Source organism: Homo sapiens, chromosome 2 (assembly GCF_000001405.40).
Source record: "Homo sapiens chromosome 2, GRCh38.p14 Primary Assembly".
Lineage (NCBI taxonomy): Eukaryota > Metazoa > Chordata > Mammalia > Primates > Hominidae > Homo > Homo sapiens.
The window spans coordinates 191,888,737-191,913,151 of NC_000002.12; the positions used below are offsets into that span (position 1 = coordinate 191,888,737).

General features: G+C 38.5%; 1 long non-coding RNA gene across 1 annotated transcript in view, besides 1 other annotated feature; it reads left to right on the plus strand.

The window, feature by feature from the left end:
* The window catches only part of CAVIN2-AS1 (CAVIN2 and TMEFF2 antisense RNA 1), a 217,342-nt gene that overhangs the window by 42,249 nt on the left and 150,678 nt on the right, over window positions 1-24,415 (plus strand). The gene's annotated exons all lie outside the window — the stretch shown is intronic.
* Window positions 18,387-18,681: a silencer, noted in NCBI's record as "tiled region #5853; HepG2 Repressive non-DNase unmatched - State 23:Low". NCBI's record gives its function as "represses a minimal TATA promoter and a strong SV40 promoter by Sharpr-MPRA in HepG2 cells {active_cell/tissue: HepG2}" and the evidence as "EXISTENCE:reporter gene assay evidence [ECO:0000049][PMID:27701403]".

Below are 24,415 nucleotides of genomic sequence, written 5' to 3' on the forward strand. Positions count from 1 at the left end.
CATTCTTAGATAATTCAATATCTCTATGTCTCTGGTAGGAAGGATGTCAACCTGAGTTAATTTTTTTGTTTATCAGAAATGATAGGACAAGATGACATTAAAACGGTTGAAAGAAGCCATCCAGAATGCATATTAAAATAATCAAGCAAATCTTTAAGGAGCTTAGGAGTTGCTTGGATTGATTTCCTGCAACCACAGAACTAAAGAATAAGTGATAATTGTCACAGACCATTGTCCAGAATAAACCCAGATATTTCCCATTGTTATCCTTCATCCTGATATGTTACAGTTGGCTGTGACATCACAGTCTTCTGATTTTGATTGAAGTAAAATCTTGTGAAGGAAAAGTGCTCTACAGTGACTGGGGCTTAGTCATTTATTTGTTCCCTGAGTTTACTCAGGCTCACTAATTTGTAGGTACAATAGAGTCACATTATCAGTACTGTTCCAAATTTTGCAGGCTCTCACTGACACCCACTTAAACCATGTCTGTGCTCCCCTGAAATGGTCATTTCAGAGATTCTAACATATGCCTGTGAGATGTCCAGTTGGTCTTCATGTGGTTGTTCCACTCTCTCAGTCAGGCACTGGAGTCTCCTGGTGGGCACATGAGGGATGTGACAGAGCCCTCTAAGTGGCCAAGCTGCAGGATGGTTTGCAACAAAGTGGGGGATGAGGTCTTTCTCCTGTTTTGTGTGTAAATCTTTTAAGGTATATCAACATTACATTGTTGGTGTCTCTTTCTGTATGGATTTTTAATGAAATAGGACCTTGAGGTTTTACCTGAAGCCCTCTCTTTTCCTGGGTACCAGACGGGCATCCAGCAGGAGAGAATGAGAAGTAAGTGCCAGCTTGGGTTCTTTCATCAGCAACCAAGGCAGTGTTTTGGGGTCATTTTTATCTTTTAGGATGACTTTCTTTGGAAATTTCTTCATTCTCTGAAGCAAATAAACTTTAATCAGGTCTTCCTTATCAGTTTTCCTGAGATGTCCAGATAGAATTTTCTGAAATGCAGTGGCAACATAGCCTCAAGTTGGAATCTCTAAACCTGTTCATTCAACAAACATTTTCTGGGCATAGTTTTTGTGCAAAAGACTCTCTTTGCCTTTTTATTCCTCTTTTTCCTAAATAATTTTTTTTTCTTTGGAACTGGCTTAAGTAAAAGAGTTGACATTTAGGACTTCTCTTAACAGAGACTGTATTAGTCCATTCTCACACTGCTCATAAAGACATAGCTGAGACTGAGTAATTTATAAAGGAAAGATGTTTAATTGACTCATAGTTCAGCATGACTGGGGAGGCCTCAGGAAACTTACAATCATGGTGGAAAAGGAAGCAAACATGTCCTTCTTCATATGGCAGCAGAAAAGGAGAAGTGCAGAGTGAAGAGGGGAAGAGCACCTTATAAAATCATCAGATCTCATGAGAACTCTTTCACTATCACAAGAAGAGCATGGGGGAAACCACCCTCATTATTCAATTACTTTTCACTGGGTCCTTCCCATCACATGTGGGGATTATGGGAACTACGGTTCAAGATGAGATTTGGGTAGGGAAACATCCACATCACATCAGAGACTACGAAGACATTTTCAAATAAAGCACAATTAGTAAGGGATGTACTTTTGAAATGTGGGTTTCTACAGCCAGTGCTTTTATTTACACAGAGGGCCATTACTAAATGCTTTGATTTAACTGGCTGATTAGACATCTTCGTAGAGGAAGAGGAATAATTAGAAAACTGCAGAAGTATTTGAACTCTCCAGAAAAAGCCAATGATTGATCTTTTGTAATTTATTGTTGAAGTAGATCTATGTTTATCCAGGGAAAGCATGTTTGGTTGTTTTTGAATTGCCTAGCATTTTTATTGATATTTATTTTAGAATCAGAATGTTATTATAGTAAATTATTTTTCATATGTATCCCAGTACAAAATTGTTTTATTGCATTGCATATAATCATATTTTGCATGAACGGAGTATGAGATTTACTTAATATTTATTTTTGCCTGCACATTGCTACCAAAAATTACCACCATTTAAAAAGAGCTTTGTGCTTACAGCCATCCATAAATTGCATGTTAACATTAATGGACTACAATGTTGATTTAGAAATGGCTAAGTACTGACATATTTTATATAATCATTTATATAACATTCTCAATTTCAATAAAGAATGCCTGCTGTCTAATTGTGTCCCTGCAATGTATGGTAGTTCTTCATATTAATGGCAAAATATCGTTGCCCTTCATGTTTGGAAATGATGTTACTGACAAAGATCTTTAGGAATGTATCTACCAGATCAATAGGTGATCAATAGTTTTCTGTACTCCGTGTGGAAAATACCATAGTCACTACAAGCAGAGTCTAAAATTTTTTTTAGCTGTGTCTTAAAGTTGTGGGTTCCATATACAAATTATTGTATGGACTTAAATAATTAATCAAGAAATAGTCTAGTGGATATACATGTACACACAATACCTTGGTTTTTCATCTTAACAGACTTTTGTTCAAAAGGTCGTCCCACTTCTTTTTCTGTGAAGTTGTGTGGTCAACTTAAAGCATTGCCTATCTATATCCCAGTCCATGCTTTTGGCAATATCTACTGCAATATGTGAAGACTGAAACAATTAAGAACTACAGTTTATTTCTATATACTTCACCTCTTTCCCTCTCTCAGATTATTTTGGAACAAATCCCAAATCAATTCATCTGCAAATATTCCAGAGTGTATCTTAAAATAAGAATTATCTCTCTCTCACTCTCTTTTAAACATAACACAATACAATGATCAAATCTAAAAAAACAATTTAATCATCTTTCTTCTGTATCATCAATACGCATTCAGTGTCTTTGTTTCCTGCCTGGTCTTTTGTGGTCTCCAAGTCACATTTGCCTGCCCTGATGGAAGTCAGCCTCACGGTTCTGTATGAACTCAGGCTCACTCAGTGTCTCATTCAAGCATGCATCCCAAGCCTTTCTGCACCAAGGCAGACAGCACACCACTGGGCCAAACTACAATGCATCCAAAAAGTGAGGGGATAAAAGCCCAAGGATAACACTGACCTAATGGGGACAGGAGCCTGTAGAGCAGGGTTCCAGCCTCCTATCCTTCGAATAGACAATTCCTGGCAGACTGCCGCATGCTTCTCGGAGGTCCAGCAAAATCAGCCCCCTGTGCCTATAGTGGCAACCTCCCTAATGCACTTCTGTTGGCTTTTCCTCCTTTCCAGTAAGATTTTCCTTATTCCCACAGTTCTCTTTCTTGGAATTAAATCTCAAGTCCGTGAGGTATGCAAATTATGATATCCCATACTTTTAATAGTTTGAATTCAGATCCAAATAACATTGCAATATGTTGATATGCAACTGAATTCACTTTCAAAAATTGTAGCAAAATAAATATAACATGAGGTTTATCATCTTAGCCATTTGTTTTTCTCTTTTGATACAAGGTCTCACTCTGTCACCCAGGCTGGAGTGCAGTGGTATGATCACAGCTCACTGCAGCTTCGACATCCAAGGCTCAAGCGATTCTCCTGCCTCAGCCTCCTGAGTAGCTGGAACTGTAGGCATGCACACCATGCCCAGCTAATTTTTGTATTTTTTGTAGGTGGAGTTTTGTTGACCAGTCTGGTCTTGAACTCCTGGGCTCAAGTAATCTGCCTGCCTTGGCCTCCCAAATTGTTGGGACTACAGGCATGAGCCACCACACCTGGCCCTTAGCCAGTTTTAAGTGTGTAGTTCTGTGGTATTAAGCACATTCACATTGTTGTGCAATCATCACCAGCATCTGTCTCCAGAATTCTTTTCATCTTGCATAACTAAAACTCTGTATCTATCAAAATTAAAAATACTCTCCATTCTCTCAGCCCCTGGCAATGATCGTTTTACTTTCTGTTTCTATGAATTTGACTACTCTAGGTACCTATATGTAGAATCACGTGGTATTTATCTTTTCGTAACTGGCTTATTTCCCTCTGCATAATGCCCTCAAGGTTCATCCATGTTGTAGCATGGGTCATAACTTCCTTCCTTTTAAAGCTGAATAATATTCCATTGTATGTTTATACCACATTTTGCTTTTTTATTCATCCATTGATAGACATTTGGGTTGCTTCCACCTTTTGGCTATTTTGAATAAATGCTGCTATGAACATGAGTGTATCAATATCTCTTTAAGACCTTGCTTTCAATTATTTGGGTATATATCCAAAAATGCAATTGTTGGATCAGATGGCAATCACATTTTATATTCCTACTAACAGTGCACAAGGGTTTAAATTTTTCCATATTCTTATCAATACTTGTCATTTTCTGTTTGCTTTGATTTTTAAATAATGGCTATTTTAATGGATATAACTTAATTCTCTTCTGATTAGTAAATTTCTCCTCCATTGTCTTGCTTCTATCTCTGTTTTCCTCTCTTTCTCTTTTTAAAGAAACATGATTGTCCTGTTTTTCCATAATCAGGGTTTTTCTGACTATGTGCCTATACTGTCAATTTATAATGCAAAACTTATAAAAATCCTTTAATTCTGAATTTGAATGGGAAGTATCAGTGTGGTCTGGATACATGACATATTTTTGCCTTTTTCCAAATTACACACTTCCTACTTCTGTTTTCTGTAAAGGCCTAGAACAATAACCAATCCAGCAGCAAATGAGCACCACCAGCTCATAGATTAGGGTCTCTAAAACCAGGACATTTTGGAAAAGAGGCTGATTTAAGGAGCAGGAAAACAGGGCTGTCTGGGGCAGGAAATGTACAAGATAAGGAGGGAAATCTTGTCATATTTGAAAGCAAAGCTACTATCAAAGACTGTAGGAATTGTTTTAATAGGACTCTGGAGCCAATTTGAGCAGGTTGCCACTGATCAAGGATGGACTAACTTGTGCATCAGTAAAGATAATAGTTGCAATGGATTACAACATATCAAATATATTTAAATAAATGCATTCATAATGATGCTAAAAGAGAAGAGAAAAACTCATTGCTCACCTTTGAAGGATGCTATGGGTCCAGTTCATTACTTTGAGAACTGGTAAGTAAATTGATAGAATCCAGCTTTTATTCTTCTTTTCCTATGCTAAATGTACCTAAAGCAATCACATTATTAATAAGGAATGATTTCTCTTTATAAACCATTCAAGTTAATAAATGAAGAAAAACCTACTACAATAGCATTTTGCAGCTCCTACGGACTTGAAGGAGCTGGGCATTGAGCAGCAATGGCTGCTGGCATCATGAAAGGGAAGATGGCCAGACAGTACGTGCCTCTCAATGGAAGTTCACAACACCACCTCTGATGTAGTCCTGCCAAAAAAGGAACACTTGAATCATATTAAGCCTACAGACTTATCTACCAATTTGTAGGAAATATAGGAAAGGGGAATGATTATTAATATGTTTTTCCTTAATTTATTTTTCATAATCCCTGAAAAAAATAGAAATTGAACTGTGAATGGATGCATATTCATTTTGAAAACTAAACCTGAATGTCTGTAGATATTCACACAAAAGTATACAGGTGTCTGCCTAGTTCAGATTTTTGTCTTAGGAAGGGGTTAATCTTAGTGGCAAAGGAGCCATTTTTAAAGAGGTTGACACTTAACAGGATGTCTATTATTTCTTCTGACATCCTATCTTCTTATCTTGCTTTTAGTTATGTGGAGTAAGATGAAAGAAAATTGTTAACACTCCATAGCACTGTGTGCTTGGTTTTAGTAATCTCAGCTGTGATTTAGATATTGTAAATGTTTTCCTCTCTAAAAAGGGGAAAAAATGTGAGACTCAAATAAAAAGCCAACAGGGAGAGGGGCAGATAAATTGCATTCCATAGTGTTCAGTTTTGTGACTGCAAGATTAATCCTATTAATTATCTTGTCTTCTGACCTTATGTAGTTTGGATTCTTTGTTCGCTACCTCTTGAATACACACATCTTTCAGTGAATAGTAAAAATCTGAAAATTTTGAAATGTTAAGTTAAAAGCTATTTGCTTCACTTGGAAACCAAAGAAGAATTGTAGGAGTTCTCCCCCATATCAAGTCCAGGAATATTTGATTTTTTTCAGTTTAATGACTAATACAGAATTCTTTTTGTGTGTGTGAGCAAGCTGCAAATTTCAAGATGACTCATAATGAATCTTCATCTGAAGGCTAGTTACTTACTGCTTGTCTTGAATCTATTTATGATTAATACTTATTGCTAAAGATCTGTTGTGTAGTGTCAATTCATTCCTTCAAACATTTTACACGGTTTTATTAAATATATATTGAGCAACAGCTATATATCAGGTACCGTATTGGGTCATAGGACTATAGCAGTGAATAAGATCTGTACATTCTGTCCTCTCTTGGAAGTTCTCGTTTGGTGAGTTTTTCAGGAAAGCATATGCCAAGATGTAATTAGAACTGTAAGAGATTTATTGAAGGCAATACCCATGAGGGATAACTGAGAAAGGGAATGGGAGTATATGCAGAGAGCCTCAGACCATGATGCACGCCTGACAATTTTGCAGAAGGAAAAGACGAAGGAAGGAGGATTAGGTGGAAAGAACCTAAGACTACAGTGCAGGTCTGCGAAAGTCTCAGCTAGGCTGATGGGGAGCCCTGAGCAAAAATTGCTTTTTAGAAGAGTCCCACATTGGCCAATACTGGCCCAGCTCTAATGCCTCTGCTGCATTGAGTTACCGGCTCAGAGCAGCCCTGAAAGCATATGGTCTGTGTTGCACACCATGGTGGATCTGGGGGATATGACAGCAGGAGGCTGTCAGCTAACTGCACAGGCCCTTTCCTGATGGGCCATCTGAAAGGTACATTGTTGAATGGATACAAGGGTGAAACATATTACAGTAAGTATACTATGGAGGTATTTTAGTAGTATAGCAGGACAAGTTTATATGCATTTACTTTTCTTCCAGTGCTCTGCTCTGGGTCATAGCAAGCAATGTTACCAAAATTCTTTTGCCCTAGGCCTATTAGATAGGGTCAGCCACTGGCAGGAACTGGCAGGAGATTGAAACGTGGAAGAGAGGAGAATTCAATTTATTTTCCCCTTCTTTATTTGTCTCCCCTCATCTCTCCAGCAATAGCTGCATCTCTTGTTTCCAGATCCTATCACAGTTCCTCACTTTGTGGTCCTAACTGTCTCTGAACAGCCATGGTCTCTCTCTGAGACACTGCTTGTGGCCACTGTCCTTTTATTCCATAGAGATTAAAGATCGTACTAGAAACTTCCTGCTGTTACCAGTCTCTGTGTTGCTTCACTGCCCCCTATTTGGCTTCCCAACACTTTCATCACCTTTGCTAACCAATTCCTTGTATTAGGTCCCCTTATTCTGAAATATATAGAGTGCTCTAATTTCCTGGTTATACCCTGATGGACAGACCTAGTCTGAAAGGGGTGAAAAGAGAGATCTCCTTAATGAAATGACATTTAAGCTAAAACCTGAGGTATGATTGGAGCTATCATAAATGAACTGAACGTGGCACTATCACTAGTTCAGTAGTAGTGCATTATCTTTTGTACTATTTGTTTATTTTCAAAACAATTTAACAGCAAAAAGTACAGATTCTTGAACTGCAGGGACTGGGTTCAAATCTGAGTATCTGCCACTTTCTAAATATGTGACCTCAGGTGGGTTATCAAATTCCTTGTGCTTCAGTGTTCCTTTTTTTGTTAAATAAATAAAACAATAACTTCACCTTTTATGGAAGCTATGAGAAGTCAATAAGTTAATATGTATAGGCAGCTTAATGTTTGTTATTCTTTTTCACACACATCGCAGGACTTTGGCAGAAACTGTACTATGTCAATGTGCATGTTGAGCCTTCAGGAAGATAATATTGAATATGGAGTAGACACTGCTTCATTTTTTTTCTAAAATCTAATGTTTCAGGGGAGATGTTTGAGGACAGCCTGGTTTTTTGTTACTTATTCTGGGTCACCTTCTCTTTCTGCCTGTATTCTTGTGGGTTTCTTTCTCATCCTAAAAATTCAGTAAGTTTATTAGGATACGTAAAGCTGTTGGTCACTTTTAATAAGTTTTGCTTAATGTACAGGTATGTCTTATTCTTTTCCAGGTTTGTTTATTCTTTCCTTTTGGGAGAGGTTTTTGCTTTTTTTTTTTTTTTTTTTTTTTTTAATTATACCATAGACGTTTTTCTGTTACATTAGTCTGGGGGAAGCCAGTGTTTTCCCTTCAATTTACAAATTGACTCAGTAAATTCACTTGGCATTTTATCTAAAATGTACCAGGGTCTTATGACTAAGGTAACAGATTATGGCACATGCCATCTAAATTAAGGCCAAATATGGAGATATTTTTATCTTTCTTTGGACACTTAATGACCTGTCTGATATAGACAGGACTCTGTGCAGTTGTTAGAGCTTGGGTGATTAATTGGAATCTGCTTGGTCAGTTAGAAAGCTGAGTTTGCTCTCATAGCCCATTGATTCTTTTCTATTTTCCCCTGTCCCTTACCTTTTCTGTTGTTGTTGTTGTTGTTGTTTTCTCTTCCTCATTTGGAGAAGTCCACAGTTTCACTTACAAGGAATAGCAGACTTACTAGGCCACATTAGTGATTAATACAGTTCTGGGTTATGGCCAATAATAAGCTACAAATTTCCATATATCATAGAAACAATAAAAACTTAACTGGGCAAAGAAACTTGGAGGTTGATTTGCTCATAGTAGAGATCCAAACTATTGTTATTCTTTCATTGGCTACATTGGCTCTGGAGCTACCACAAAGGAACATCTTGGGAATGAGCATTATAATTCAGGATAACCAGGACTTTCAGAACCGTTGTTCCATGGCAACATCAAGGTAAGTAAGAGCATGCATTCTGGAGAAAGATAAATGGGGCTCAAGTTCCTGTTCTTCCTTCTCCTAACTGTAACTGTTGACCAATTACTTAATCATGCTAAGCTGTAAGTTACTAACTAGTACAATGGAGATGAGAATAGAACTTTCCTCATAGGACTGTTAGTGGCTATGAAATTAGATAATGCCACTTGTGTGGTGTCTCACGCCTGAAATCTCAGCACTTTGGGAGGCTGAGGTGGGTGAATCACCTGAGCCTGAGGTCAGGAGTTCAAGACCAGCCTGGCTAATATGGTGAAACCCCATCTCTACTAAAAATAGAAAAATTAGCCGGGCATGGTGGCGGGCGCCTATAGTCCCAGCTACTCGGGAGGGTGAAGCAGGAGAATCGCTTGAACCCAGGAGGCGGACGTTGTGGCGAGCTGAGATCATGCCATTGCACTCCAGGCTGGGTGACAGAGCGAGACTGTCTCAAGAAAAAAAAAAAAAAAAAAAAATTAGGAAATGCTTCCCACAGTCCCTGAAACAGGAAATATTCAATATACCTAAGTTGTTATTATTATTACTAGTCAATATACAAATCAATACCATATATTTCACAGCTGTGCCTTTCTTTCTTTTTTTGTCTAATAAATACATTTATTCTCTTTCAAGACAAGAAATTAGAGTTGCTACTTTCAAATTTGATTCCTGAGGAAAACAACCCACAATATGGGCATGGGGATCAATGAATTGAACATTTGAGCTAGCATTCAGTTTTTAGCAAGGGTGAACTAGAAGAGAATGCTCAAAGTGTAAAACCCTATTTCTTAAGTGGCTTTGGACTGGACTCTTCTATTTTTTTCATCAGAGAAGATCAACTATCTAGTTGATCAGATTTCTGCTGCTTGCTCTTCTATTTTGTTCTTTTCCTCTGACTTTTATGGTTTAAATGTCGTTTGTCCTGACCAAAACTCATGTTGAGGCTTGGCCTCCAATATAGTGGTATTGGGAAGTGGTGCCTTTAAAAGGTGATTAGGTCATTAAGAGGGATTAATGCCTTTCACATGAGAGTGAGTTCTTGCTGTCAAGGGGCTGAACTAGTTACACTGAGAGGGTATTGTTATAAAACAAGGCTGCCTCTGATGTTTGATCTCTTTGCACATGCCTGCTTCCTCTTCCTCCTCTCCACCATGTTATAATGCAGCAAGAGGCTCTTCCCAGTAGCCAACCAGATGCAGCCTCCTGATCTTGGACCTCCCAGCCTCCAGAATTCCAAGCTAAATAAACTTCATTTCTTTGTAAATTACCTAGTCTCAGGTATTATATTATAGCAACGGGAAATGAACCATGACACTGATTTTTAATCTCTTTTTCCTTTACCTTTGCTCTCTGAAAGAGTGTGTCAAATCTTTCTTCACAGCCCAGGTTTAATGTTCTGCAAGGTCAATTTAGCTCTTTATGGCTTAAAGTGATATTTTAAATACTATCATGACGTTATTAGTTACCTTACCTTCTTTAGATTTTTTTTTCCCCAAATGCAGTCAACTCTCTTCCAAAAATATCTTCCTATATCTTATCTTTCATTTTAAGTATTATAAAAGCAAGTGTTCTAAAATGTTTGTTTCTTGGAACAAATCTTTATAAAAATACACTCCTCCAGTTTTATCATGCTATCTTGATTTTCTTGCCAAAACTTCAAAGGACTTAACACTGTTTATTTTCTGTATACTTATTTTTGATAGAAGGCAGGTCTATTTTGATCTGTTATTTGAATAAAAATTAACATGGTACATTTTTCTGAGTCTGCTCACTGTTTAGCTTGACATTTTCTACTCCTCCTTTTTATGTTATAATAAAAAAGAGATGATATGGATTTATATTAATAGTTTGGTTATTAGGCAGACAGAGAAGGATGAAGAGAAAATTGAGGCATGAACAGTCCCAAAAGAAGCAGAAGGAAAACGGTACTTTATATATTTGTTGAAGAGACAAAGTTTCCGCATCTAATTTTGCTGTTAACTTAGTGATTGCTTTTAGGCAGATGACATCATTTTCTTGTTGTCTGCCTGCCAATCTGGGCAAATGTTGTTTTGTTTTAGGAAAATGCCTCTGAGTCAGGATGAATATGTCAGTTGGTGGGAAGCTGACTGATTGTAACTCCTTTTTGTATGGCCTTATTTATTTCCTCAGCTCAGTGCTTCTGCCTCAGAGGGTTTTATTTATTTATTGATTGAGGAATCATTGAAACTGACTATAAGGCAAGTAGTTTGTTTTTCCTATAGTTTTTTGCTCCCCCTCTTCTTCCTTCCTTTCTTTCTTCCTTTTGTTTCTCACTTCCTTTCTCTCTCTCTCTTTTTTTGTTTTGGAGACAGAGTCTCCCTCTGTCACCCAGGCTGGAGTGCAATGGTGTGATCTTGGCTCACTGCAACCTCTGCCTCCCGGGTTCAAGCAATTCTCCTGCCTCAGCCTCCCAAGTAGCTGGGACTACAGGTGCCCACCACCACGCCTGGCTAATTTTTTTGTATTTTTAGTAGAAATGGTGTTTTACCATGTTGGCCAGGCTGGTGTTGAACTCCTGACCTCAGGGGATCCACCCGCCTTGACCTCCCAAAGTGCTGGGATTACAGGCGTGAGCCACCGTGCCTGGCCCCTTTCTCTTTTAGGACAGTTTTCTCATTAATTCAGAAAAGTATTTATCACAGTGGGGAGGGATGAACCATAGTAGGAAATTAGGGTTGGTAGAAATTCCTACCTTTTCTTCTATTTGGTGTAGCTTACTCCCAGGTTACTGATGCAATGGTGCAAAGAGTTCCAAGTGGAGTTGTTACTCTCTGTCTCTTGTCTCTCTTCCTTATAACCCTTAATGATCTGATGGTTTTATCAGGGGAAATCCCTTTCACTTGGCTCTCATTTTCTCTCTTGTCTGCCACCATGTAAGACATGCCTTTTACCTTCTGCCATGATTGTGAGGCCTCCCCAGCCATGTGGAACTGTGATTCCATTAAATCCTTTTTTCTTCATAAATTACCCAGTCTCAAGTATGTCTTTATCAGCAGTGTGAAAACAGACGAATACAGTAAATTGGTACCAGGAGAGTGGGGCGCTGCTATAAAGATACCCAAAAATATATATGTAAGTGACTTTGGAACTGGGTAACAGGCAGAGGCTGGAACAGTTTGGAGGACTCGGAAGAAAACAGGAAAATGTGGGAAAGTTTGGAACCTCCTAAAGACTTGCTGAATGGCATTGACCAAAATTCTGATAATTATATAGACAATGAAATCCAGGCTGAGGTGGTCTCAGATGAGTAACTTGTTGGGAACTGGAGTAAAGGTGACACTTGCTATGTTTTAGCAAAGAAACTGGTGGCATTTTGCCCCTGCCCTGGAGATCTGTGGAACTTTGAACTTGATGGAGATGACTTAGGGTATCTGGCAGAAGAAATTTCTAAGCAGCAAAGCATTTAAGGGTTGACTTGGGTTACAAACTTTCAGTCTCAAAAGAGAAGCACAGCATAAAAGTTCAGAAAATTTGCAGCCTGATGATACAATAGAAAAGAAAAACCCATTTTCTGAGGAGAAATTCAAGCCTTTAAGCCGGCTGCAGAAATTTGCATAAATAACAAGGAGTCAAATGTTAATCACCAAGACAATGGGGAAATGCCTCCAGGGCATGTCATAGACCTTTGCAGCAGCCCCTCCCATCACAAGCCAGGCAGCCTAGGAGGAAAACATGGTTTCATGGGCTGGGCCCAGGGCCCCCCTGTTGTGTGCAGCCTAGTGACTTGGTGCCCTGCATTTCAGCCATTGCAGCTGCTTTAGCCCTGGCCAAAAGAGGCCAAGGTACAGCTTGGGTCATGGCTTCAGAAAATGCAAAGCTCAAGCCTTGGCAGCTTTCATGTGGTGTTGAGCCTGTGGGTGCATAAAAGTCAAGAATTGAGGTTGGGTAACCTCCGCCTAGATTTCAGAGGATGTATGGAAACACCTGGATGTCCAGGCAGAAGTTTGCTGCAGGGGCGGGGTCCTCATGGAGAACCTCTGCTAGTGCAGTGAGATAGGGAAATATGGGGTTGAGGCCCCCACACAGAGCCCCTATTGGGGCACTGCCTAATAGAGCTGTGAGAAGAAGGCCACCGTCCTCCAGATCCCAGAAAGGTAGATTCACCAACAGCTTATACCATGCACCTAGAAAACTGCAGACACTCAACACCAGCCCATGAAAACAGCTGGGAGGAAGGCTGTACCCTGCAAAGCCATAGGGGCAAAGCTGCCCAAGACCATGGGAACCCATCTGTTGCATTAGTGTGACCTGGATGTGAGACATGGAGTCGAAGCAGATCATTCTGGAGCTTTAAGATTTGACTGCTCTGCTGGATTTTTGACTTCTATGAGGCCTGTAGCCCCTTTGTTTAGGCCAATTTCTCCCATTTGGAATGGCTGTATTCACCCAATGCCTGTACCCCCATTGTATCTAGGAAGTAACTAAGTTGGTTTTGATTTTACAGGCTCATAGGCAGAAGGGACTTGCCTTGTCTCAGATGAGACTTTGGATTGTGAACTTTTGACTTAATTCTGAAATAAGTTAAGACTTTGGAAGACTGTTGGGAAGGCATAATAGGTTTTAGAATGTGAGGACATGAGATCTGGGAGGTGCCAGAGGTGGAATGATATGGTTTGGCTGTGTCTCCACCCAAATCTCACCTTGAATTCCCATGTGTTGTGGGAGGGACTCAGTGGGAGATAATTGAATCACGGTCGCAGTTTTCCCCATATTGTCTTCGTGGTAGTGAGTAAGTCTCACAAGATCTGATGGCTTTAAAAGGGGAAACCTCTTTCACCTGGCTCTCATTCTCTCTCTGCCTGCCACAAATATAAGATGTGCCTTTCACCTTTTGCCATGATTTTGAGGCCTCCCCAGCAATGTGGAACTGTGAATTTATTAAACCTATTTTTCTTTATAAATTACCCAGTCTCAGGTACATCTTTTTCATCAGTGTGAAAACGGACTAATACAAGTAGGTTGTCATTGTACAAGAGCACTTGTCTGAGTGGAGGCTGAAATCCATACTCCTGCTGCCCAAGCTGTGTGACCTAGAGGAAGAAGCCCTATATAAAAATAATTATAAAGACATGGTTTATTTGCCCAGTTTGGAGACCTGAGTTATCCTAGAGCAAGTGCCCATTTCTATTCCATGCACAAAAGTTTAGTATGGTCTATTAGTGGTCCGTGCCACATTAGGTGAGTTTGTGAACTGTGCTTTCTTGGAAAGGAGAGCATCTTGATGGCTCGCTTTCATCTTATTCTGTCTGGGCCATCTCTGGGAGAAATTTTTTTTATGTACTTTGCTTATTTTTCAGCTGGTATGTAAGAGGCATTTGACCCTATTCTTCTGTTCTTACCTCTCTGTGAAGTCCCTACTTTATTAAAGAAAAATGTATTAAGTGGATAAAAACCTAAAGAAAAGAAGAAAAAGAAAGAAAGGAAGAAAGAAGGAAAGAAAAAAGAAAGAAGGAAAGATAGGAAGGATATAGTGAAATGTCTTTGTTCTATTCTTGTCTCCAATTTGCTGAGTTTTTTACTCTACTGTCATAAGTAGCCACCTTTAATAGTGTCCTATGTTTGCATCTATAATTTATGCATGCACAAACCAATAGAAATATAAATACTTTCTTATTACTCAATATTCTCTTAAATAGACAGGATATTCTATATGTGGCTTACATTTGAATTTTTGTTTTCATCCAACAATGTCTTCAAGGATTTTCAAATTTGCACATCGAATGGCTTTTCATTATTTTGTTCAGCTACGTAATATTCCATTTATGAATAATTCATTTAACCAGTCAATTCTAGATAAACATTAGAAATGTTTTCAATCAATTGTTCTTACAAACAATGCCATAATAAATAACCTTGTACATTATTCATTTTTGCACATGGCAAATACGTCTGTAGGATAAATTCCTAGAAGCAGAAGAGCTGAGTCAGATGGTATTTAAATTTGTAATATTGATAGATATTGCCAACCTTTCATTCATAAGATTTCAGCAGTTCAAATTCCTACCAATGAAGTTTGAAAATGTTTCCCTAATGACTTACTAGAATAGTGTCTTATCAAGCTTTTAGATTCTACCCATGCTGATAGGTGATATTTCAGTGTCATTTTAATTTGCATTTCTGTTAATGTGAATGATATTATCTTTTAATAGGACTGTGAGATATTTATATTTCACTTTCTGTGAAGTCTGTTTATATCCTTTGCCCATTATTTTGTTGAGTTATTGGTCTTTGATTATTTAAATCAATTTTTAGGAGCATTTCATATTTTAATTTAGCTCTTTCTCTGTTAAATGAGTTGTAAATACAGTTTTTTAAAAAAGAGTTTGTTTTATGTCTTTTGCCTTTGTTTTTATTTTATTTCAACACATAAAAGTCTTTTTAAATGTAATCAAATTTATCAGTCTTTTATGGCTTCTGGAATTTGAATGAGATTTTGAAAGAACTCCTTGAAACAAAGTTTATAAAGGAATTCTGCCATATTTACTTCTATGATTTAATTATTTCCAAGTAAACCTTTGATTGATTTGGATTTCGTCCTGATATAATCATAAGGTATCATATATAAGGTGGATCATATATAAGGGTTCAATTATTTTTCCGGAATGCCACTCACTTTAATCAAGAGTGAGACACGTATTCCCATGATGAACACTTTTATTTGACTTTGTACTGAAGAATAGTCCATAAAATTATACTAAAGACAGACAGCAGTGGTACAAAATTTTAAAGCTACCAGAAAAAAAAAACACTATTTGTAGATAAGATTTTATACCTGGAAAACCCAAGAGAATGAACTGAAAAAGAAACACTAAAACAATAAGAGGTTAAATAAGGTAGTGTGGTAACGGGTTTTTAGACATAAATCAGTAGCTTTCATATACAAGTAACAACTATGTGCGAGATCTGATAGACAAGATCTCATACAGCAGCAGCATAAAAAATAAAATACCTAGAAATACACTTAATAAAGTATGTGCGTAATCTATGTAAAGGAAAGTTTGGGGTACTGTTGAAAGGCAATAAAATACTGCTGAGCAAATTGAAAGATACATTGTATTTTGGACAGGAATAGTCAATAAAGGTATCATTCTTTCTAAGCTATTTCATAAATTGGCAACCCAATAAAAAGGTTAATGGCATTTTTTTTGAAATATTCATATTGATGCAAAAGTATACACGGAAAAATATAAATAGATAGTAAATTTTAAAAAATAAACTTTGAAGGGGAACTAATGCTACCAGATATTAAACTTATTGTAGAGTCTCAGAACCTAATGCAGTTTTCTATCAGTGCATAAATAGACAGATTAGAGGAATAAATAGGAAGTTTAGAAATAGACTCCAAATAATAGCGGAAATTTTTTACATGATAAGGGTACAGTCTCAACCTAGTGGGAAAAAGATGATGTTGGAACAACTCATATATTTTAAATTGCATGTTGTGAATCACCCTATAAACATAGTAAACATTCTAAAATGCATCACAACAGCCCCACTTTCTGGAAAAGCTAATGAGATTAAAAATGCACTTTACATTCTACTAAACCCAGAACTTCAGCGAAGACATAACTTATTTCCTGATCCAAAATGAAGTAAGTTACTGAATTCCATCTCTACCAATCAGAACAGAATTTGTATGTACTATATTCTTTTCACATTCCCCAGTGCATAGGCGTTATAGAGGGGGAGACGAATTAGACTTTTTACAAAGACAAAACATAATACTTTTAACCTCTAGGAGTCATTTATTAAAATTGCCTTTAAACAATGCACAGTGCTTCTGGAGAAAACAAGGTGGCATTCTTGAATAATTTCTATCATTCCTGTTTCACTCAATGTAAAGGAAACTCTAGGACGATGGGATAGTTGACCTTTATTGTGCTTTCTTCTATGCTCTCACGAAGAACACATCCAAGGCATTGGTAATCCACCAGCATGCAGGATATGCGTGGAGGCAAGCTGTGTGCAGTGTTGATTGCTTTCATTAGTGCTCAGGAATTCTTAGGGAAGTAGCATGGCTTATAAACGCAGCTCCAGGTTTTTCATCTCCAGGTGTTCTTATTCTAGGCTTGTTGCTTTATTGCCTTGCTTGCCTAATTTCACTTTCACCCATTTTCTGGTTAAATTTGAATAAAATTTCTTCAGATCTTTTGGAGATATTGGGCAAGAGAGCTGTGTTGTGTATATTAACTAATTCAGGGTCTTAAAGTCATTTGATTCAGGGTGCAGTATAAAGGCAAAGCAGCATGCACAGTAAAGCAAAATGCTAATTATTGCAGGCAATGCAGATGCTGCTTTTATAGGTACCAGATGTGTATCACTTCTCAGTTTCATGGGCTGGCTCCTGGAAAAGAACATGAGGCAGGTGAATGGTATAAACTGAGTAAAACAAATCACTTGGGAGAATAAAAACATCCAAGTAAACAGGGCTACAATTATCTTCAGAAAAATTAGAACGCTACTTTCCGAAGACATCCAGGTCAAATGGGCAACAAAAAATGTAGCAAAATACCGAGGTCCCCAATTTTTTTGAACACTGATGAATTATACTTTTGTTTGTTTTCTTTATACATTGTTTTACGGTTTAATAAAAGGTTGAAATGCCAATGAGTAGATTTGGACACAATTCAATCTAATGTGTGAGAATTTTTCAAGATAATTTTTTTTTCAATGTAGGCTCAGGATTTTAGAGCAAAGTTGGGTATTTAGCTTATACAAATGCATTATGTGCTGTGAATACCAGGTAAACACATAAGTGTTCGTGGAGAAATTGAATTGCTTTCAACCAACCACAAGGTTAAGTTGATCTCTTAATTAATTAATTTGTATCACACACCCCAAAAGGATATTTCCAGGAGGGACACATCAATTCAGGATAACAGATTAGAAGGTGACATTTGAAACCACAAAGTGGAAATAGAGATATATGCTAACTACAAGGACAAGTACAGTTGCTCTGAGTAGACATAAAAATTTCTCTGTGGCTATGTCAAAGGAGAGGGGACCTAAAAAGTTGCATAAAATTTGTTATCAGGATAGAGGGAGCATATCAATTATTCAAATGAGATCATTTTAGCATTTTATTCTGAATGCAATTTAATGCATGAGATCTAATAAAGGGATATCCCAGCAATATAATGTACTGTATTTTTGATGACAGTTTTACAAAAAATGAAGACGGGATTAGTAAAATAAATTTAGCTCAAATCTGAAAAGTTTAATATCTTATAGAATATGGGAGATACAAAAGAATCTGCCATTTCACAAGTATTTAGTGCTAGACTCTTTTATTTGTGGTAGACTTCACTATATTGATATCACAGGGACCCCAAAGTCTAACATGAATGTAAGAATAGACAAAAACAAATATTCAAGAAGATTCTGAAACCCATCCTATACAGAAATGGTTTATCATTTCAATTAAAAGGGAGCTTTATATTAGGAAAATATCTTGCTTATTTTTTTTCTGACAAGCTCCATTATCTACCTCTTTAACTCCATTTTGTCTAGCCTAATTTCATCTATAATATTTAGTACTTCAACTAACCCTTCAAAAAATAGCAGGATACACATGAAGAGCCCATGTTAGTGAATTGGTAATTTCAGGGACAAAATGAAGCACCCACATGCATAATCAGTGAAGGTGGCAAAGGAGATGAATCATCTCTGCAAACCTCTCCTATGTCCTCCCTCTCTCTCAGCAGATAACCTTGCATCCCATTTCAGAGGAAGTAGAAGCTGTTACTCAGAAATAATCTCTGCTTCTTGCTCTGCCCCTACTCAGTGCCTGCCTTCCACCCTTGCTCCTTCTCTTCTCTCATCTGGGCCAAAGCATCCCTCTCTTCTTGGATTCTCAACCCCTCTGCCTTCTCTGAGATCTCCCTTTGTAAATACGTTCCATTCTCTGCTCTTTTCCATTAGTCTTTGTGCTGACGTCTCTAGGAAAAGCAACAGTTACAGAAGAGATGACAAAGATGATGACAACTCTACTCTTCCACCCAATTTCTTTTTTCCTCTCCCACACAAACCTCCTGACATTTACAGCCCATTTCCACTTTTTCACCTCCCATACTCTCCCATACTCTCTTCAGTTTGCTGCCACCTGGCTGTTTCCTTCACTCTGTCTATAAACAGCTCTTGGCAAAGTCACTAATAATGTCCTTGTTGCTATATCCTGTGGGCGCTCCAGACCTTTGTCTTCTGAATCTCAGCAGCAATGGACCTGTACTGCCTTCCTGACATCTTTTCCTCTTTGTTCGGTGAAACATTGTACTTCTGACTTCCTGCTGCTCTGACGGCTTGTTCCCAGTTTCCTTTGTGGTCTTTTCTTCTTCCACCAATCTCTTATATTTTTGTGGAATTCTTCTCCCTGCTGGCTTTTGTTTGTTTGCACCTAGCACACCCACCATAGAGGTTCTCTATCTACTGCCATGTTTTAATTATTATCTCTCTTGAATTTTAGATTTTCATATCCAACTACCTACTGGATATCACCTGCTGGATAAACATTGGGCCGCCTACATAGAGCATGTCCAGGCCTGAACTTGTGTCTTGCCTCTAACTTGCTCCTTCTGTATGTCCTGTGCTACCCCTCCACCCAAAAATGCAGGAAGCATTCTTGACTTCCCCCTTTCTGTCAACCCCACCCCCAGCCAGTCACTAACTTCTGTCGTTTTTGCCTCCTCAATATCTCTCAAATATCTACTATTCTGGATCAAGCAGTGACAATCTCTCACCTGGATTACTTCTAGCACCTCCTTGTCTCCCTGCCTGTGGCCTTTTATTTTATTCATTTTTTTTGAGATGGAGTCTTGCTCTGTCACCCAGCCTGGGGTAAAGTGGCACAATTTTGGCCTGTCACCACGCCCGGCTAATTTTTGTATTTTTTAGTAGAGATGCGGTTTCACCATATTGGCCAGGCTGGTCTCGAACTCCTGACCTCATGATCCACCTGCCTCGGCCTCCCAAAGTGCTGAGATTACAGGCATGAGCTGCCGTGCCCGGCTGGCCTTGTTCTTTCTAATTGGTTCTCCTCGTAGCCAGAGGGATCTTGGTACAAAGCAAATCAAATTATGTCATTTCTTTCTTTCTTTTCTTTTCTTTTTTTTTTTTTTTTGAGACAGAGTCTCATTCTGTTGTCCAGGGTGGAGTGCGGTGGCATGATCACAGCTCACTGTAACCTCCACCTCCCGCACTCAGGTGATCCTCCCATCTCAGTTTCCCAAGTAGCTGGGATTACAGGCATATGCCACTGTATTAATCAGGGTTCTCTAGAGGGACAGAAATAATGGAATATATATATATATACCTAGTAAACTCCCATATATATATTCCATATATATAAATACCATATATATATAGTATATACCATATATACCATATATATAGAGTATATACCATATATACCATAGAGTATATACCATATATACCATATATACCATATATATAGCATATACCATATATACCATATATAGAGTATATACCATATATACCATATATATACCATATATACCATAGAGTATATATACCATATATATGGTATATATGGTATATATACTCTATATATAGTATATATGGTATATACTCTATATATATGGTATATATGGTATATACTATATATATATATTGTATTTATATATATGGAATATATATATGGGAGTTTACTAGGTATTAACTCACACAATCACAAGGTTCTACAATAGGCTGTCTGCAGGCTGAGGAGTGAGGAGAGCCAGTCTGAGTTCCACAATTGAAGAACTTGGAGTCTTCAATTAAACTTGGATGTTTAAGGGCAGGAAACATCCAGCATGGGAGAAAGATGTAGGCTAGGAGGCTAGGCCAGTCTCTCTCTTGACATTTTTCTGCCTGCTTATATTCTAGCTGTGCTGGCAGCTGATTAGATTGTGCCCACCCAGATTAAGGGTGGGTCTGCCTTTCCCAGCCCACTGACTCAAATGTTAATCTCCTTTGGCAACACCGTCACAGACACACCCAGGATTAATACTTTGTATCCTTCAATCCAATCAAGTTGACACTCAGTATTAACCATCATAGCCACCATGCCTGGATAATTTTTGTATTTTTAGTAGAAATGGGGGGTTTTGCCCTGTTGCCCAGGCTAGTCTCAGACTCCTGGGCTCAAATTTTCTGCCCACCTTGGCCACGCAAGGTGCTGTGATGAAAGTCTTGAGCCACTGCCCCCAGCCAAATAGTCATTTTTATGCTTAAAAACCTTCAAAGGCTCATTCTCTCATGAAGTAGTTCCAACTCCTTGATAGGGCTCATCAGACCCTTCATGATATTGTTCTTAATTTTTCTTTAGCCTCAACTTTTAGGTATGTCTACGAGCCATAGGGAAGTTATTTCACTTCCCCAACATATGGGTACAAAGTTTGTAGTTAGGAGCCCAGACTTTGGCACCAGACTATAGGGGTTCAAATTTCAGCTTTGTCACTTAATAACATCATGACCCCAGCCTGCTTACTTAATTGCTCCCTCTCAGTTTTCCCATCTATAAAATCAGATGATAATAGAATTATTGTGAGGCTTAAATGAGTCAAGGAGTATAAAACACTCAGAGCAATGCTGGGGTATAACTGATATTCGGCAAACATCACCCACTATCAATATTGCCACCAGTTCTAGGCACTGAAAAGACTGTGGGACCTCACTTTTGTGATTCAAAATAAAAACAATTCAAGACTGTAAAATACATTTCAGCCAGTAAGTCAGCCTAAGAAAGGAGTGATTTTTTTTCAATGATTTTTACTTTGATCTGTTTTGAAAACGCTAGATTGAAAAATAGAAATAGAACTTTTGTTGCTTGTGCTTTGTTGGTGAATTGACCCTGTGTTCAGTCTGGTTCTCTGTTCCAGAAAATGCTTTTCCCTCTTTCTAGGACACTCTTCCAACTTCTCACTGACTCTTCTTGGCATGTTCTTTTCCTCATTTAGGTCTCATGTTACAAGTTAGTTCTTCTCAAAGGTTGTCCTAGACCTGGAATCTGACCTAGTCCCTGATTACAAACTCTCTTCTCATTCTATATTCCCCCAGTATGACACTTCCTGTTCTGTGTCATAAATTCCATGTCATAATTTCCCCTTTACCGTATCTCGCATTATAATGCTATCACCACAAAGACAAGACCACTTCTATCTTGTTCACATTATTTTCCTTCTCTGCATAGCATAGCATGTGCTCAGTGAATCAGAGACTGACTAAGCATCAGAAACCTCACTTGCCTTTAGACATCATCTCACTAGTACAGAAATAATTCTGTGTAAGAGTATATTTACCTTTTATAAAATACTATTTGTTTTTTTTTCTTCTGACATGATGACTCTGCCTTCAGCATCACTCATAACCCAAAGAACTACTAAGTTGCTCTTTGCTGTTTTCAAATTCAAATAACAAAAATGAGATAATGAGTCTTTTTTTTTTTTTTTGAGACAAAGTCTCACTCTTGTCCCCCGGACTGGAGTGCAATTGTGCGATCTCGGCTCACTGCAACTTCTGCCTCCCAGGTTCAAGCGATTCTCCTGCCTCAGCCTCCCCAATAGTTGGGATTACAGGTGCCTGCCACCACGCCCAGCTAATTTTTGTATTTTTAGGAGAGACGGGATTTCACCATGTTGGCCAGGCTGGTCTCGAACTTCTGACCTCAGGTGATCCGCCTGCCTCGGCCTCCCAAAGTGCTGTGATTACAGGCGTGAGCCACTGTGCCCGGCCGATAATGAGTCTTTTAAGACTGAGTTTGAAAACCTTTTCATACAGTGATGGGAGTTTTCCCTGTGCTGGGTTGTGAGAACTAGTTATGAAGGCATTGCTTTTGGATCTCTTAAGTCTTAAGTCTACCACAAAATCCCTAGTGGTGGGAATCTCAATCTGGGGCTGACCGATAAAGAAGTTTCTGGCTAGCAGCCCCTCAAATCAGGGTCTTGGGGCAGTTACCTGCAAACACAGCAGCTCCTGTGTTTCATACTTGAAGGCCCCTGGGAAGTCCCTGTTCCCTATTTGGCAGTTAGGAGCTGAGATTTCATCTCACCATTATAAATTATTCAACAAACTTTCATAAGTTCTTCCTAGGAGGTTTGTACTAGTGCCTGTAGAGGCATTATGTGATACACAAAGACAAAGACGTGGTCCTGCCCTTCAGGAGTAGTAATCCAGATATCACCTGCTGCTCTTAAGAACCTCTACCCCATGTCTTAAGGGAAATCCAATAACTGCTCTAGGAGTTTTGCAGTGCTCAGGGATTTGTGCTTCATTTAGTCATCTTGGGCTTTGCTATCTTACTGATGCTGGATTTTTGTTTATTGTGTCTTCTGGGTGTTTCTTTATCTTTGCCCTAGTATCAACTCAGACATAGGATGCAGTTTCTTCCCCTTAATTCTTTGCTCTTAGTCCTAAAATATCACTCTGGGGAGCAGCTGTGGGTGGTAGCGTTTTACTAAAGAGATGGGTAATGGTGAGAGAAGTTATATGGCATTCCATAGTTAGATAATCAACAATTGAACATTGGGCTCTTGAAGAAGTTCTTCAGCCATTTCTCTCAACGTGAGTACTGGGCACCTGCTATGTTTTTTGGCCCCCTCTGTCTTTCCTCTCTGTGCTGCCTTTCAGCCACTCCAAAAAGAAAAATAGTATTTTCTCATACTGATTTATAGTGAGCAATCCAGCTCTCTCTCTTCCTACCCATAAGCTGTGCTTGGGATTCAGCTGCATGGCTGTTATTCACCAACGTACTCTGCTAAACAGTGCACTAATGATTCCATGTCCCACCCATTCTCCTTTCTGTCTGATTAGGTGAGTTATATCGCTGCCACCGCCCCCCCGCCAACTCCTCTGGAAGTACAAATGGAGATAGCCACATTCCGTTTATATGACATTTTCTCTTATTTTCCTTGCAGACGTTTGAGACCTAGAAAAATCTTGGAAGAATTTATTTATTGAATTCTTCATTTCCACACTTAAAGGACAAGGGCAAGCCTTGTTCGCCATTGTATTCCTATCACCTACACACAAAGTAAGCACTCAACGAATATTTATTATGTAAGTGAGTTTACACTTCCAGGAGAGCTGCACTGGAGTTAAACGTGTTCATTTTTTCTTTAAATAGCTCGGCACCACCTAATGTTCATCTTATCTAATATATACTGTATTCTAGTCATCATTTCAGGGTACTATTAATTTAAAAACAGGTATAATTTATCAGGCTTGCATTCTGTTCACAGCATTCTCATTGACATCTAAGGCAAAACAGTGAGGACCTGGCAAAACGTTTTTGCTTTGCTGACTGTGGCTCTGTTCTCTTCAGGAGCCATGGCTGCCAATATTCCCAAGAGAGAATGAACTTTTGACTCTGGGCATCATACAAAGCCTCAAGCTGTTCCCTGTAGAGTGAAGAGCTTGGATGGAGTTAAGGACTTCAGTGGTTCTTGCTAATGCTTTCAGGCAGCTTCACCTGTATTTGCATCATCCAGGCAGTCTGCGCCTGAGAAGCACACAGAACAGCTAAAGATCACGGCTTGTTTTGAATATGCCA